This window comes from Homo sapiens, chromosome 12, assembly GCF_000001405.40.
Source record: "Homo sapiens chromosome 12, GRCh38.p14 Primary Assembly".
Lineage (NCBI taxonomy): Eukaryota > Metazoa > Chordata > Mammalia > Primates > Hominidae > Homo > Homo sapiens.
In genome coordinates this window covers 49,062,777-49,079,863 of record NC_000012.12, presented here as the reverse complement: position 1 = coordinate 49,079,863, position 17,087 = coordinate 49,062,777, and the positions used below count along the sequence as shown (strand labels likewise).

Here is a 17,087-nt window from a genome sequence, read left to right as displayed (position 1 = left end):
ATCTTGCAGAATCTTTGAGAATAGATATTGCAGATCTCTTCCTTAAATAGGCTGAAGACAAAGTCACCCACCTTCTCCTTCTCTTGGAAGCAGCTGGCCCAAAGCACCTTAGGACCACTACAGAAAGGAGGATATAGGTTTCTCGCTCTCTCTGCCCCCTTTCCCTCTCTATATATTTCAATAAATTGACTAGGATGGAGTAGTCTTTAAATTGTCTGATTTTCAATAACTTAGAATTGTCCAAAGATGAAGGGACTTCTTTGTTGAGACGGGAGGAGTATTTCCTTTATCTTTGAAAGATTGTACCAAGGCCTAGAAACTATTGGTGGGGTGTCTGGGGAGGATCAAACATCATGCCAGTGGTTGTCACTTTTAAACTGATTGCTTCTCACTTAACTGTGATTCTACAGTTAAAAACAATAGGGCTATATATTCTGCTTGGTTCCTATTCACCAGCTGTGTGGTCTTGAGTAAACAGAGGCTACCATTAGGTACTTCCATGGAGTTGGAAATGAAGAGGTGCTCTGAGATTTAAACAAGGTGAATCAACACAAGAAGGCACAAGGCAGTTCCTCCCAGATCCAAACCTGACTCTCTCCCTTCCACAAATATTTATTAAGCCCCTGCAAATACTAATAGGCATTGTACCATGTTAAGGATTTTGATATCTTTCTAGAGACACAGGCAGTCATTTTAGTGGAATAAATTAATTTAATTAGGTTTTAGCTTGGAGGAGTAGTCTGATCAAATTTGGATTTTATTTTATTTATAGATGGAGTCTCGCTCTGTCACCAGGAGTGCAGTGGCGCAATCTTGGCTCACTGCAAGCTCCTCCTCCTGGGTTCAAGCGATTCTCGTGCCTCAACCTCCCGAGTAGCTGGGATTACAGGGATGCACCACCACGCCCAGCTAGTTTTTTGTATTTTTAGTAGAGACGGGGGTTTCACCATGTTGGCCAGGATGGTCTCGATCTCCTGACCTCATGATCCAGCCGCCTTGGCCTCCCAAAGTGCTGGGATTACAGGCGTGAGCCACCGCGCTGGCAAAATTTGCATTTTAAAAAGATCACTCTTTTAGCTGGTAATGGTGGCGGTTGCCTATAATCCCAGTTACTCAGGAGGCTGAGGCAGGAGAATTGTTTGAACCTGGGAGGCAGAGGTTGCAGTGAGCCGAGGTCGTGCCACTGCACTCCAGCCTGGGCAACAAGAACGAAACTCCATCTCAAAAAAAAAAAAAAAAAAAAAGAAGTGGCCCAGCAGAGAGGGAGTAGGGGAATCAACATTCCAACCTTCTCTCCTCTATCTTCCAGTCTGTGGCCAAACACTTCCTATTAGCTAAAGCTAGCTGGAAGCCAGAGGGCATTACTGCTGTCTATAAAGGTCAGCCTTCCAGGAGCAAATGCAGGATGAAGAAGGGTAAAGGAAGATCTGGAGGGGTAAATGGAAAATGTGAGTTAATAAGAACCAGAACTCTAATGTCTGAGTCTTTAGAGAAGGGTCTTCAGATTAGAAAGAACATGACCATGACAGGGAGCACCTGAAAATAACTTATTAGCTAATTTAAATCTAAGAAGCATGGCAGTTTGCATTTTAAATTAAAAAAAAATTGGTGCTATGACTGAAATTCAAGTTTGCATTTTATCTTAAATCTGTGTTTACATTTTTTTTTTTTTTTTTTTGAGATGGAGTCTCACTCTGTCGCCCAGGCTGGAATGCAGTGGCGCGATCTTGGCTTGCTGCAACCTCCACCTCCCAGGTTCAAGCAATTCTCTGCCTCAGCCTCCCGGGTAGCTGGGATTACAGGTGCCCACCACCACGCCCAGCTAATTTTTGTATTTTTAGTAGAGATGGGGTTTCACCATCTTGGACAGGCTGGTCTTTTTTTTTTTTTTTTTTTTTTTGAGCTAGAGTCTCGTTCTGTCACCCAGGCTGGAGTGCAGTGGCACAATCTCAGCTCACTGCAAGCTCCGCCTCCTGGGTTCACACCCTTCTCCTGCCTCAGCCTCCCGAGTAGCTGGGACTACAGGCGCCCGCCACCATGCCCGGCTAATTTTTTTTGTATTTTTAGTAGAGACGAGGTTTCACTGTGTTAGCCAGGATGGTCTTGATCTCCTGACCTCGTGATCCGCCCATCTCGGCCTCCCAAAGTGCTGGGATTACAGGTGTGAGCCACCGCAGCCGGCCAGACAGGCTGGTCTTGAACTCCTGACCTCATAATCTACCGGCCTCCGCCTCCCAAAGTTCTGGGATTACAGGCGTGAGCCACTGAACCCAGCAATTTACACATGATTTTTAACAGTTGATGCCAAAAATTAGATAATCATCCATTTTCCTAATTAGAAGATCCAAAACAAAAAGTATTGTTTGGCCAACTTAAGCAAACTTTTAGGAATTACATAATTAAATGTCTAATTTATAATATTTTATTTATTTATATATACTGTACACATTTAAAAGTACATAGCCTATAAAATAATAAATTGATATTATTTAACTGATTTTCCATTCTTACATTTAAAGCATAGTTTTATTCAAACTTTTATTATTAGTTTTTGAGTTAGAGTCTCGCTTTGTCGCCCAGATTGGAGTGCAGTGGTGCAATCCCGGTTCCCTGCAACCTCCGTCTACTAGGTTTGAGCAATTCTCCTGCCTCAGTCTCCTGAGTAGCTTGGATTACAGGTGTGCACCACCATGCCTGGCTAATTTTTGTACTTATAGTAGAGACAGGGTTTCACCATGTTGGTAAGGCTGGTTTCGAACTACTGACCTCACATGATCTGCCTGCCTCGGCCTCCCAAAGTGCTAGGATTACAGGCGTGAGGCACTGCGCCAGCCTTATTTTTGTTTTTGAGAGAGGGTGTCACTTTGTTGCCTAGGCTGGAGTGCAGTGGCACAAACATGGCTCATTGCAGCCTTGACCTCCCGGGCTCAAGTGATCCTCTCACCTCAGCCCCCACAAGTAGCTGGGACTATAGGCACGCACCACTATGCCTGGCTAATTTTTTTCTTTTCTTTTCTTTTCTTTTTTCTGAGACGGAGTCTCCCTCTGTCGCCCAGGCTGGAGGGCAGTGGTGCTATCTCGGCTCACTGCAAGCTCTGCCTCCTGGGTTCATGCCATTCTCCTGCCTCAGCCTCCCGAGTAGCTGGGACTACAGGTGCCTGCCACCACGCCGGCTATTTTTTTTTCTTCGTATTTTTAGTAGGGATGGGATTTCACTGTGTTAGCCAGGATGGTCTCGATCTCCTGCCCTCGTGATCCACCCGCCTCGGCCTCCCAAAGTGCTGGAATTACAGGCGTGACCCACTGCACCTGGCTAATTTTTGTATTTTCTGTAGAGATGGGGTTTTGCCTAGGCTGGTCTCGAACTCCTCATCTCAAGTGATCTGCTCGCTTTGGCTTCTCAAAGTGCTGGGATTATAGGTGTGAGCCACTGCTCCTGGCCCCAAACTTGCATATTGATATGAAAATATTCATTTTCTTTTCTTTTCTTTTTTTTTTTTTGAGATGGAGTTTCATTCATGTTGCCCAGGCTGGAGTCCAATGGCGTGATCTCAGCTCACTGCAACCTCCGCCTCCTAGGTTCAAGCGAATCTCCTGCCTCAGCCTCCCGAGTAGCTGGGATTACAGGTGTGTGCCACCATGCCTGGCTAATTTTGTATTTTTAGTAGAGACAGGTTTCACCATGTTGGTCAGGTTGGTCTTGAACTCCTGACCTCAGACGATCCGCCCGCCTTGGCCTCCCAAAGTGCTGGGATTACAGGCATGAGCCACCGCGCCTGGCTAAAATACTCATTTTCAATATAAGTGCCTTTATGATTACTAGATCCTCTTTTGGAACTTAGATATGATGCCTGAAGGTGAACTCATCTTGTGGCTATGAGGCGACAAGCATAAGGGAAGAGTTAAGAGAACTGCAGGTACCAGACCTGGTATCATGGAGCAACTGGACTGATGCTGCTTACCTCCAACTTTGTTACTTGAGAAACATAAATCCTTATTTGTTTAAGCTATTGCAACTTGGTTTTTCTGTTATTGAAGCCAAATGTGTTCTTAATATTCAAGTGACTACAACAGATTCAATATCAGATAGTTCAGGTTACTGTAGGTCAGGCACCCAATATCGAGGTTTCTATGACAGATGTCATAGATGGCCTCATTGTCTACCATGAAGGTGCAATCTGAGTGCTCCAGGGTGATGTTTGTGGTGAGCATAGAGTTGTAGGGCTCAACTACAGCTGTGGATACCTGGGGGCCTTGGTAAATGGAGAACTCCAGCTTGGACTTCTTGCCATAATCAATCTGCTCTGTAGTAGATTGAAAAATAGAGCTACAATATTTTCCAGTTTCTCTCATGGAGAAATGGAGTCTATTTCCCCATGCCTTGAATCTGGGATGGCTTTGTGACTTGCTTAGGCTACTAAAATGTGGCAGAACTTGTGTTGAATGAGTTTCAAAGCCTAAGGCCTCAAGAGGCCATGCACTGTCCTAACTTTGCCCTCTTGGATGCTTCTGCCACCCAAGAAGAAGCTCGGGCTGCCCCAATAAATGATGAGAGACATGTGGAGAGACAGAGGCCTAGCCAAGAGCCAGCACCAAGGCTCCAGACGTGCGTGAGGTCATTTTAGACCTTCCATTCCCAGTGGAGCTTCCACTGACTAGCCACGAGAGTGAGTCCAGAGGAGGCAACATAAGAACCATGAATTCAACCCACAGAATCCTGAGAAAAATAATTTTGATGTGGTTTGTTATGCAACAATAGGTAATTGATAATCAGCAGGGAGGTAAACCCATAACTGTGGAAAACAAAGAAGCCTTGAATACCTGTGCGATGGAGTCCATTAGAAAGGACATGCCATATAATTTGGGTGCAAACAGAGTAGAGACATTTTTCACTTTTCCCAGAGATACTTAAAACAGTTTTCTGGGAACATCTTATCTTTATTTTGTCTCAGTTGTTTGAGACATAGCAATGTATGATGCTGTCCTAGAAATGTTATTTCAGGCCAGGCTTGGTGGCTCATGTCTGTAATCTCAGTGTTTTGGGAGGCTGAGGAGGGATTGCTTGAGGCCAGGAGTTCAAGACTAGCCTGGGAGCGACCCCATCTCTACAAAAAAAAAAAAAAAAAAAATTAGCTGGGCATGGCAGTGCATGCCTGTATAGTCTTAGGCTACTCAGGAGGCTGAGGCAAGAGGATCACTTGAGCCCAGGAGTTATGGGCCACAGTGAGCTATGATGGCACCACTGCACTCCAGCTTGGGTGGCGGAGTGGTACCCTGTCTCTAAAACACAAAAACAGGCTGGGAGCGGTGGCTCACATCTGTAAACCCAGCACTTTGGGAGGCTGAGGTGGGTGGATTGCTTGAGTCCAGGAGTTTGAGACCAGCCTAAACAACATGGTGAAACCCCATCTCTACTGAAAATACAAAAATTAGCTGGGCATGGTGGTGCATGCCTGTAGTCTCAGCTACTCAGGAAGCTGAGGTAGGAGAATCACCTGAGCTGAGGAGTAGAGGCTGCAGTGAGCCAAAATTATGCCACTGCACTCCAGCCTGGGCAATTGGAGTGAGACCCTGTTTCAAAAATAAATAAATAAAAAAAAGTAAAAATAATAAAAAACAAAAAAAATCTTATTCCAAGCCCATTTATCTAACATTAGGATGAATTGCTTCCTTTATTTATATTATTATTATATAAATAATATATAATAAATATGTTTATTATCTATTAAATAATATTTATATATAATATTTTAAAATATTTTTTTGACTTATCTCCAAGTTCTATTTTTCCTTTATTTGATCCTATTTTTTTGATCTTTACTAAATAAACCATTTGTACATTACTTTTTTTTTTTTTGAGACAGAGTCTCGCTCTGTCAGCCAGCCTGGAATGCAGTGGCGCAATCTTGGCTCACTACAACCTCCATCTCCCAGGTTCAAGTGATTCTCCTGCCTCAGCCTCCCGAGTAGCTGGGATTACAGGTGCCTCCCACCATGCCCGGCTAAATTTTGTATTTTTAGTACAGACAGAGTTTCACCATGTTGGTCAGGCTGGTCTCAAACTCCTGACCTGATGATTCACCTGCCTCAGCCTCCCAAAGTGCTGAGATTACATGTGTGAGCCACTGTGCCCGGCCTATGCATTACTTTTTAAAGTGATTGATATTTAATGAACAACTATTTAATCAACCAATATCTTGGTCCTAAAATGTGCAGGTTTTATAGATTGGCTCATGAAACATTTATTTTTTTGTTTTTTTGGAGATGGAGTCTCGCTCTGTTGCCCAGGTTGGAGTGCAGTGGCGTGATCTCGGCTCAGTGCAACCTCCACCTCCCAGGTTCAGGCGATTCTCCTGCCTCCGTCTCCTGAGTAGCTGGGACTACAGGCATGCACCACCATGCCTGGCTAATTTTTCTATTTTTAGTAGAGACGGGGTTTCACCATGTTAGCCAGGCTGGTCTCAAACTCCTGATCTCAGGTGATCCGTCTGCCTCAGCCTCCCAAAGTGCTGGGATTACAGGCGTGAGCTACTGTGCCCGGCCCCAGCTAATTTTTTATATTTTAGTAGATACCGGGTTTCGCTGTGTTGCTCAGGCTGGTGTCGAAACCCTGAGCTCAGCTCAGGCAATCCACCCGCCTTGGCCTCCCAAAGTGCTAGGATTACAGGCGTGAGCCACCGTGCCTAGCTTCTTTTTTTTTTTTTTTTTTTTTTTTTTTTTTTGATACAGGGTCTTTGTTGTCCAGGATGGAGTGCAGTGGCACAAACATGGCTCACTGCAGCCTCAACCTCCTTGGGCTCAGGTGATCCTTTCACTTCAGCCTTCCAAGTAGCTTGAGACTACAGGCACGTGCCACCATGCCCGGCTAATTTTTCTTCTTTTTTTTTTCTGTATTTTTTATAGCAACAGGCTTTTGCCATGTTGCCTACCTAGGCTGGTCTCGAACTCCTGAGCTCAAGCAATTCACCTGTATGGCCTCCCAAAGTCCTGGGATTACAGGCCTGAGCCACCACGTCAGGCCAAAACATTTATTTATAATCACATTGTCTTTTGCCTTCCTTTACTATAGACATTGGAAAAGAAAATGCTAAAATTTCCAGGTTCCCTTACAACTAGAAATGACTATATAAAACAATCTTGTTCAATGAGATGTAGGTGAATATCTGCTGTGAGAGCTTCCCTTACCAGGTAAAAAGAAAAAGTCACAAGAGGAGAAAGCCCTTTGCCTTGGCTCTTTTGCTTTCTCTCTGATTCAAAACAGGAGAATTCAGATGGTTTAATAAAGAGACTATTTACAAAGATGTGGGCAGGGTATAGGGAGACCACAACAGATAGAGCAATGCCCCAAGGTGAATAACAGAAAAGAGGCTGATACTGCTATAGGCATAAAGGCTGAGGGGAGTCACTGAAAACCAGGAGAGAGCTGTGTGTGTGTGTGTTGGAGGAGGCAGCTGCCTTGAGAGGTACTGTGACCTTCAATGGGGGACAGAGCCACTCTCCTCTGTCCATTGAATCTTCTGTGTGTGCTTTCCTTTGGCTGAGCTTCACTGAAAGCCAGGAGACAAGGTCTGCCTCCTGGACATAAATCTGGGTGGAAAAGAATGGAGAGTTCATATGGACGGGACAAGCAGTATAAAAGGCATCTGTTATTTATTTCTGTATCCTAGTGTGCAACACATAGTAAGAGTGCCTGGCACAAAGTAGAAGATGAATATATATATATATATATATATATATTTTTTTAAGATGGAGTCTCACTCTGTCTCCCAGGCTGGAGTGCAGAGTACAATGGTGCAATCCCGGCTCACTGCAACCTCTGCCTCCCGTGTTCAAACGATTCTCCTGCCTCAGCCTCCTGAGTAGCTGGAATTACAGGCATGCACCATCACGCACGGCTAATTTTTGTATTTTTAGTAGAGACGGGGTTTCACTATGTTGGACAGGCTGGTCTCGAACTCCCGACCTCAAGCGATCCGTCCACCTCAGCCTCCCAAAGTGCTGGGATTACAGGCATGAGCCACCATGCCCGGCCTAGGGCTTTTGTGAATATTAAATGAGATAACAATAAAATGCACCTGGCACATAGTATAGTCGAACTCTCTATAAATCTAGGTGATTTCCTTCCTTTCTTCCCTCCTCTACCAATCCTTCCACAAGTCATTTTAACCTTAGCTTCAGAATATCCTGAATTCTCAACTTCATTCAACATGATCACTCTAGTCAAGCGCTCTCATCTCTCACCTGGACTACAGGTAACAGTTTCCTCGCCAATCTCCCTGCTTCCTTTTGCTCCTGTTACCCTCAAACCCCAATCTATTCACTACAGCCAGGGAGATTTTTTAGAAAGACAATTTAGATCATGTCATGCCCCAGCTTAAATACCTTCAAGTACTTAGAATTAGCCCAGACTCCTTTATGTGGCCTGGCCTCTGCCATTCTCTTAGACTTCATCTGCTTTAGGCTAACTGGCTTTCTTTTTTTCTTCCCCTCTTCCTGGAATTTACCCAATTTATTTCCATCTTAACGCCTTAGCATTGGTGGATTCTTCTTGTGAAATCTCCTAGTTGGTTCCTTCAGATCTTAGTTTAAATGGGGTTTCCTATGAGAGAAAGTATCACTAAAGTGGTCATCTCAGCCAGGCTCGGTGGCTCACGTCTGTAATCCCAGCACTTTGGGAGGCCGGGTCAGGTGGATCACTTGAGGCTAGGCGTTCGAGACCAGCCTGGGCAACATAGCAAAACCCCATCTCTCCCCAAAATACAAAAATTAGCCAGTCTCATAACCCTGTCTCAAAATAAATAAAGAAAAAAAATTAAAAATGCTGTATTGTCTTTAAAAAATAAAGTGGTCGGCCGGGCGCGGTGGCTCACGCCTGTAATCCCATCACTTTGGGAGGCCGAGGCGGGCGGATCACGAGGTCAGGAGATGGAGGCCATGCTGGCTAACACGGTGAAACCCCGTCTCTACTAAAAATACAAAAAATTAGCCGGGCGCGGTGGCGGGCGCCTGTAGTCCCAGCTACTCTGGAGGCTGAGGCAGGAAAATGGCGTGAACCCGGGAGGCGGAGCTTGCAGTGAGCCGAGATAGAGCCACTGCCCTCCGGCCTGGTAGAAAGAGCGAGATTCCGTCTCAAAAAAAATAAAAATAAAAATAAAAAAATAAAAAAAATAAAGTGGTCATCTTTCATCACACCATCTTCTACAGCACTTAACACTCTCTGATATTTCCTTGTTGTATGTTTGTTTCTCCCTTCATAAGAGCAGACACATTGTCTGTGATGTCCATGTTCTGACCCCAAAGCTGGAGCAATGCCTGAAACATGTAGTATATACTCAGTATTTGTTGAAAAATGAATATTTGAGGATCATGATGATGAAGAAGAAACCTCAGACTACTTGATCATAAATTCTAGCAATTTCTGCAAGAATAAGAATTGCAGTTTGAAATTAGATGCTGGAAGACTGGAAACCTTGATAGGTCTGGGGCTGAAGGCTGGGGGAAGCAGAAGGAATATACTAGAACTTTGGCGGTTTTCTCCCTATCTAAGGACCCCAGAGACCATGCAAAAGGGAGGGCTAGAATCTTATGACCGGAAACCACAAAACGGGTATTTTCCATCCATAATTCTTCGAAGCCACTTCAGCTAGGCTGTAAATGCGCAAACGCCTTTAGGACCCCGGGTTCCTTTCTGTTTCTTTATGAATGAACCGGCTCCAGTCTGCGCACGCGCAGCTCCCAGTTCTCCCGCTCCACGTGAGGCCCACCCTTCCCTCCTGCTGGCGGCACCGCCCTTACCCATTCTAATGGACCAATGGCGAGCGGCCTGGGGGGCGGAGCCCGGCGCGGCGCGGCTCAGTAGTTCCCCGGGCGCCCGGCTCCCTGGCGTTAGACGTGCTGTGTTGTGATCACGTGGGCAGCTCCGGGCGCGGCGCTTGTTTTGGTTTCCTTCTAACTTGCCCACGGCAGCTTCGGGGTGAGCGACTTTCCTGCACCAGCTGCCGCGCCTGCTCACACCCTGACCTCGTTTTCGGGCTCTCTGAGCCCGCAGTTCCGCAAGCCCCTGGGGCGGGCTCCTGCCATGCCGCTAGTCCGCTACAGGAAGGTGGTCATCCTCGGATACCGCTGTGTAGGTGAGTCTCCGCCCTGCAGAGCTCGGACGCGCAGCAGCTTTGTAGCCAGAAGAGGCGCGCTGCCGTGGGAACGCGACCCAGGGAGGAATGATGACATCGTAAGGATGGGGTTGTAGAGCGAGGATTGGAAGAGTGGAGGAATGGAAGAGTGGAGGATTGGAAGAGTTGGTGGTGTGTGGAGGCTGCAGGAAGCGGGAGCACTTAAGGGTTAATGCGGACCTGGCTGCGGGAATCTCAGAGTGGTCCCAGCGTTACTTTGGGGATAGGGGTGGGGTCACAATTTGAAAACCGGGACGCGGTCTCCGTGGGGACAGATAGTCGCAGGTGTCCTGGGGCGGGGCGGACTTGATCCTAGGGAATCTTGGATCTTCCTACGAGTGGGATGGGGTGGGGAAGGCGGCGGGAAAGGCTTCCTGCTGCGCTTCTGAATGCATCCGGTAGCCAAAGTGCGGAGACCCTGGGTGAAAAGAGGGTGAGGGTAGACACAAAGGATAGCATTGCTTGAGGCACTCACAGACTGTGGTGTTAATTTGGGGTCTCCTTTGGTCCTGGGCCACAGTCCGAAAGGACAGAGGATGTGAATGTGGATGGATGATTTGGATACAACTGTCACACTGCTCCCCACAGGGAAGACATCTTTGGCACATCAATTTGTGGAAGGCGAGTTCTCGGAAGGCTACGATCCTACAGTGGAGAATAGTGAGTAGACTTCTCCCCTAGTGTGCTGGTGGTATGCGACCCGGAGGGCTTGGATACCCCACCCAACTCCATAATTTATTTCTCTGGTGCCAAGGGGCTGATTTATTTAGACATTACATCTGATTTCTTCTTTAGCAATCCTGTTCGATGGATGGCTAGAGTATGGATTTTGCAAGATATTGAGTCTGGGATAGTTTAGATGTAGACATTAAGAACCTTAGCGTGTCTTTCCAGTTACCTGGATAACTCCCTGGAGCTGATCTATCTGTGTCACCCCCAAGGTTAAGAATGTAAGGGGAGGCTGGGCGCAGTGGCTCATGCCTGTAATCCCAGCACTTTGGGAAGCTGAGGCGGGCGGATGGATTGAGGTCTGGATTTCGAGACCAACCTGGCCAACATGGTGAAACCTCATCTCTACTAAAAATACCAAAATTAGCTGGGCATGGTGGCGCACGCCTGTAATCCCAGCTACAAAGGAGACTGAGGTAGGAGAATCGCTTGAACCCAGGAGGCAAAAGTGGCAGTGAGCCAAGGTCGTGCCACTGCACACCAGCCTGGGTGTCAGGGTGAGACTGTCTCAAAAAAAAAAAAAAAAAAAAAAAAAAGCTGGGCACCGTGGCTTATGCCTGTAATCCCAGTTCTTTGGGAGGCCAAGGCAGGTGGATCACCTGAGGTCAAGAGTTCGAGACCAGCCTGGCCAACATGGTGAAACCCCGTCTCTACTAAAAATACAAAAAATTAGCCGGACATGGTGATGGACATCTGTAATCCCATCTACTCGGGAGGCTGAGGCAGGAGAATTGCTTGAACCTGGGAGGCGGAGGTTGCAGTGAGCCGAGATCGTGCCACTGCGCTCTAGCCTGGGCAACAAGAGTGAAGCAATGTCTCAAGAAAAAAAAGAAAAAAAAAAAAGAATAAAAAGAATGTAAGGGGGAAGGGAGTGGGAGGGATGAAGATAAATTGATCAATGGGTACAAATATATAGTTTGATAGAAGAAATAAGACTTAGTAGATCAGTAGGGTGACTATAGCTTACAATAAGCTATTTTACATTTCAAAATAGCTAGAAGAGAAGAATTCAAATGGTTCTAGCATAAAGAAAAGCCAAATATTTAAGGTGATGAATATTCCAGATACACTTATTTGATCTTTACAAATTATATGAATGTATTAAATTGTCACATGTACCCTGAAACTTGGTACATCTATTATTCATCAATAAAACAAAAGTAATTACTTTATTTTTCTTTTCTTTTCAAGACAGTCTCGCTCTGTCACCCAGGCTGGAGTGCAGTGCCGCAATCTCAGCTCACTGCAACCTCCACCTCCTGGGTTCAAGCAATTCTCACGCTTCACCCTCCTGAGTAGCTGGGACTACAGGCATGCACCACCATGCCCAACTAATTTTTTGTATTTTTAGTAGAGACAGGGTTTCACCATGTTGGCCAGGCTGGTCTCAAACTCTTGGTCTTAAGTGATCCGCCTGCCCTGGCCTCCCAAAGTGCTGGGATTACAGGTGTGAGCCACTGCGCCCAACCAATAATCTACTTTAAAAAATGCTGCCAAAAAAAAAAAAAAAGGTAAGGAGACAGCCAGGTGCAGAGGTGCACACCTGTAGTTCCAGCTACTTGGGAGGCTGAGGTGACAGGATTGCTTGAGCCCAGGAGTTCCAGGCTATAGGGTGCTAAGAGTGCGCCTGTGAATAGCCACTGCTCTACAGCCTGGGCAACATAGCAAGACCTCATCTCAAAAAAAAAAAATGTAATTAGCCGGGCATGGTGGCAGGTCCCTGTAATCCCAGCTACTCGGGAGGCTGAGGCAGGAGAATAGCTTGAACCCGGGTGGCAGAGGTTGCAGTGAGCTGAGATCATGCCACTGCAGCCCAGCCTGGACAATAGAGTGAGACTCTTGTCTCAAAAAAAAAAAAAAAAAAAAGTCAGGGGACATACATCGCTGGTCCTATAAGGCACTTCACAGTCAAGTTTTCTTTTCTTTTCAGCTTACAGCAAGATAGTGACTCTTGGCAAAGATGAGTTTCACCTACATCTGGTGGACACAGCAGGGCAGGTACCAGTTGGGGTATGGTATCCAAATGTGGCAGTTCAGCCCTCGGAGATGAAGTCTGGTAGTCTTTGTGGCTCATCCGTAAAGTAGTATTAAAAGCATTTTACCTGCTAACAGTATGCAGGGCTCATTGGAGCTGTTCCATAAATACATGTTGAAGTGACTATAGTAGGGCGTGCCCCAGGGAGGGTCACCTGGATGTTGTCCCACCAACCTTTGCCATCTTAGTGGTTTGGATCTAGGTACTGATGTTTCCCATTTCTTGCCAGGATGAGTACAGCATTCTGCCCTATTCATTCATCATTGGGGTCCATGGTTATGTGCTTGTGTATTCTGTCACCTCTCTGCATAGGTAAGTGACCAAGGTTGTGAGTGCGGGACTTGGGAGAACCTGAGGACTGTCTCATAAAGTTATAGCTCCAATTCTTGTGTTTAAAGCTTCCAAGTCATTGAGAGTCTGTACCAAAAGCTACATGAAGGCCATGGGAAAACCCGGTAAGTGGCCCTGGGGGATAGGGACATAGTGTGGGCATGAGGGGGTGGGAGAGAGCAGAGGGGAGAATTGTCAAGTTAGAGAGGAGGCTCGGATATAGATCCTGCCTGGTCTGATAAGGAGTCGTCCAGCCTTGATGTAAGGAGTTGGGGAATGCGGGGAATGAGGGGATTCTGAAGTAACTGCTGTTTCCTCACAGGGTGCCAGTGGTTCTAGTGGGGAACAAGGCAGATCTCTCTCCAGAGAGGTATGTAAATCTCTGCTACTCAGAGCAAAAGGAAGTGAAATGGACTGGGAATCAGTCAGGCTCTCATCCTGGCTCTTCCACTGACTCAAACAAGTCATTTCACCTCTCTTTGTCTCTAACCTGAAGCTTAAGGAAGATAATACTTCTATCTTAAAAGCCACAATTTCATATTTCAAGCCTCAGTCCTAGATTCACCCATTGTTCCTTTGTTTACCTATATTTTCTCCTTCCACAGCCCTCCTCCCAAAACTTGGGGAAATGGCATGGGTCAGAGAAAGTCTTTTTCTTCTCTATTTTTTTTTTTTTTAGACGGAGTCTTGCTCTGTTGCCCAGGCTGGAGTGCAGTGGTGTGATCTCGGCTCACTGCAACCTCTGCCTCCCGGGTTCAAGCGAGTCTCCTGCCTCAGCTTCCCAAGTAGCTGGGACTACAGGCGCGTGCCACCACGCCCAGCTAATTTTTTGTATTTTTAGTAGAGACGGGGTTTCACCATGTTAGCCAGGATGGTCTCGATCTCCTGACCTTGTGATCCACCCGCCTAGGCCTCCCAAAGTATCGGGATTACAGGCACAAGCAACCGCGTGTGGCCCATTTTTTTTTTAATAGAGATGGTGTTTCCCTGTGTTGTCCAGGCTGGTCTTGAACTCCTGAGCTCAAGTGATCCACCACCTCGGCCTCCCAAAGTGCTGCATTACAGGCATGAGCCACTGTGCCTGGCCAGGAAGTCTTGATTCTGAAGATTTTTCAGAGCACTTACTGACATTTCTATCCTCCATCTTTATGTCCCAAATTTGCTTCCAGAGAGGTACAGGCAGTTGAAGGAAAGAAGCTGGCAGAGTCCTGGGGTGCGACATTTATGGAGTCATCTGCTCGAGAGAATCAGGTGCTGGGCCTGAAGACTAGAAGGGTGGTGATGGTAGCTGTGTTTTCCTTATTGTACTGCTTGGTGGTGGGAATGTTGCGGGAATGGGGCTTTCACCCCAGAGCTGGGTGGTATTGGCACTGAACTGACTTTTGCCCTGAATCCTCTCCTCTTATAGCTGACTCAAGGCATCTTCACCAAAGTCATCCAGGAGATTGCCCGTGTGGAGAATTCCTATGGGCAAGAGCGTCGCTGCCATCTCATGTGAGCCCTTGGGTGTGGGGTAACTGCCTTGCTTCTGCCCCCGGCACTTGCCATGTTCCAGTGGGGGGCAGATCCTCAGGACTTCACGGGTATGGTTGCCAGCTGTGTTCCTGGCCCCTGGACACACAGTGTGGCATCCTCATGTTTGCACACTTTCCCCAGGCTCCAGTGGCCTGGATGTCAATGTTTACAAAGGGGCAAGGACCTCTCATGGACACTGGCCTCTAGCCCTCTGTTTTTGTTTGATGAATTCTGTTATAACCTATGGGGTCAGGATATGAGTCCTGGGCATTATTTATCCAGGACCCATCCTCTTGGGTGGGTTTTGGGTGTTGGCTGGGTAAGGGGAGCCGGGGACTTCTGAAATAGAGCTGGCTCCCTGGGGTGACAATGTATATATGCAAATAAATTGAGAAATCTTTTGTTGTTGACTTCTTTTTCGTGTGTGTGTGTGAGACGGAGTTTCACTCTGTTGCCCAGGCTGGAGTGGTGCAGTGCTGCAATCTTGGCTCGCTGCAACCTCCGCCTCCCAGGTTCAAGCAGTTCTCCTGCCTCAGTCTTCTGCAGGCACCCGCCACCATGCCTAGCTAACTTTTTTATTTTTAGTAGAGATGAGGTTTCACCTAGGCCAGGATGGTCTCGAACTCCTGACCTTAAGTGATCCACCCACCTCAGCCTCCCAAAGTGCTGGGATTACAGGCGTGAGCCACTGCCCCCGGCCTTATTTTATTGTTGACTTCTATGTATCTAGTGAGAGCTCAGAGCCAAGATCTCTTTTTCCAAGGAGTGATGGCTGTGGTCTTTGGTGGGATATCTTTCCTCCTACCTTGTTCCTATTCCTTATTCCTCACTTATTAAGGACCATTATCCTAAGATTTACTACTTGCCTTTCCCACCTTTCTATTCTGCTGGGTTCCTCATATACTAAGTCCAGTTGGCTGCCACTCCCATCCAAGTTTTGTAGCCTTTCAAGATCCCCTTAATTACAGAAACACCACCCTCTAGTGGCCAACTGCAACATGCTGACCTAGCTGTCTTCCTGGGGCCTCGGCATTTGCTTGGATTCAAAGATGATGGGGTTTCAGGAGAAGAAAGGAAGCCCCTCATTCCTAATGATGTAAGAATTGAGAAGGAGTGTAGAGGCAGAGACTAAAGTGTTGTGAAGACTTTGACTTCCCAAGAGTGTTGAGTAAAGTAAGAAATAATGCCTCCGGTGCATATCAGTCCCCTGGCCCTCCATGTCCCCAGTGTCTTCCATTAAAATGGCCGTTCTTTGCTGTTTTCATACCTTTAATCTTTTTGTACTTTTTACACCTTTGGTGGTGTGCTACTTTTTTTTAGGTGTCAAAGGCTATTGGTTCTGCTTTTATGGGCCTACCGCCTCAATGAATTGATATTTCAGCTAGGAAAGTTTGGTCCTGTTTGCCTCTGCTTTTCTTGATCCCCACCCTCCCACCAGCCTGATTGCCTAACTAGTCTAATACCTCCTCCAAGGATGTGTAAGGGTTATTTGAATGGTAGATCTTCACAGAGAAGGTACAGACCTCTTCTGACAACTGGGGGAGCCCGAGGTACCCTATCAATGTACTTACTTGGGAAGGATTGACAAAACCTAGATGTGATTTTTAGCTGTGACTTTGTCAGTGCCTGGCTCCAGGCTTACAGTTGGGGATATGGCTTGTCATGCTGATTTTCAAAAGTCCTGACAGCTGCTTTTGCTTTTCTGATCCAGAATCTAAAAAGAAATAAGGGCTGCTAGAAGAAACATACTCCAAACAACAATCTCACTGGCTTAGGAGGTTCTTCTGGTAGGTCACCACTGTCTCTCCTTATGTTAAAATTAAGTCTTTTTGCACATCTGACCTGGGATACTCATTACATGAGCCTACCTTCCTGCTGCCATTTTCATGAGGTCTGGGGTAGACTTAGAAACATCTAAAGTTTTCTAGTTTATCAATAATCTCAAGGCCTGGGGACAGTAGTGATAGTGGTTAATAGCTCCTCCACTTAGCTGTGTGGCCTTGGGCGGTCACTTAACTTCTCAGAGCCACCATTTCTCATTTATGAAGAGTGGCTAAGTGTGCTTCATAGAGTTGAGATGAAAATTAAACGAGGTAATATATGCAAAGCTTACTACAGTTCTTCACACATAATAAGTCCTTAAGAAATAGTGGGGTGGTGGCTGGGTGCAGTGGCTCACGCCTGTAATCCCAGCACTTTGGGAGACCAAAGCGGGTGGATCACCTGAGGTCAGGAGTTTGAGACCAGCCTGGCCAACGTGGTGAAACCCCATCTCTACTAAAAATAAATTAGCTGGGTGTGATGGTGGG

At 46.5% G+C, this 17,087-nt stretch overlaps 1 protein-coding gene across 6 annotated transcripts, besides 3 other annotated features; it reads left to right on the top strand.

Annotated features, from left to right (window-relative positions):
• Positions 9,442-9,491: an enhancer, noted in NCBI's record as "active region_6305". NCBI's record gives its function as "activates an Ori minimal core promoter by ATAC-STARR-seq in GM12878 lymphoblastoid cells {active_cell/tissue: GM12878}" and the evidence as "EXISTENCE:reporter gene assay evidence [ECO:0000049][PMID:35858748]".
• Positions 9,722-9,841: a silencer, noted in NCBI's record as "silent region_4424". NCBI's record gives its function as "represses an Ori minimal core promoter by ATAC-STARR-seq in GM12878 lymphoblastoid cells {active_cell/tissue: GM12878}" and the evidence as "EXISTENCE:reporter gene assay evidence [ECO:0000049][PMID:35858748]".
• Positions 9,862-10,171: an enhancer, noted in NCBI's record as "active region_6304". NCBI's record gives its function as "activates an Ori minimal core promoter by ATAC-STARR-seq in GM12878 lymphoblastoid cells {active_cell/tissue: GM12878}" and the evidence as "EXISTENCE:reporter gene assay evidence [ECO:0000049][PMID:35858748]".
• RHEBL1 (RHEB like 1) lies at positions 9,885-15,188 on the top strand. Of its 6 annotated transcripts, none has more exons than NM_144593.3 (8): positions 9,885-10,130; positions 10,758-10,829; positions 12,829-12,896; positions 13,163-13,245; positions 13,332-13,388; positions 13,586-13,633; positions 14,433-14,514; positions 14,672-15,188. In NM_144593.3, the coding sequence occupies exons 1-8, from the start codon at positions 10,079-10,081 to the stop codon at positions 14,759-14,761; spliced, it is 552 nt and encodes a 183-aa protein (NP_653194.1). In that variant the 5' UTR covers positions 9,885-10,078; the 3' UTR covers positions 14,762-15,188. The 6 variants fall into 6 exon arrangements, 5 of the variants coding, with proteins under 5 accessions (NP_653194.1, NP_001290055.1, XP_047284242.1 ...); NM_001303126.2 differs by having other exon boundaries at positions 10,690-10,829; NR_130123.2 differs by lacking the exon at positions 12,829-12,896.
• The last annotated feature ends 1,899 nt before the right edge of the window (positions 15,189-17,087 follow it).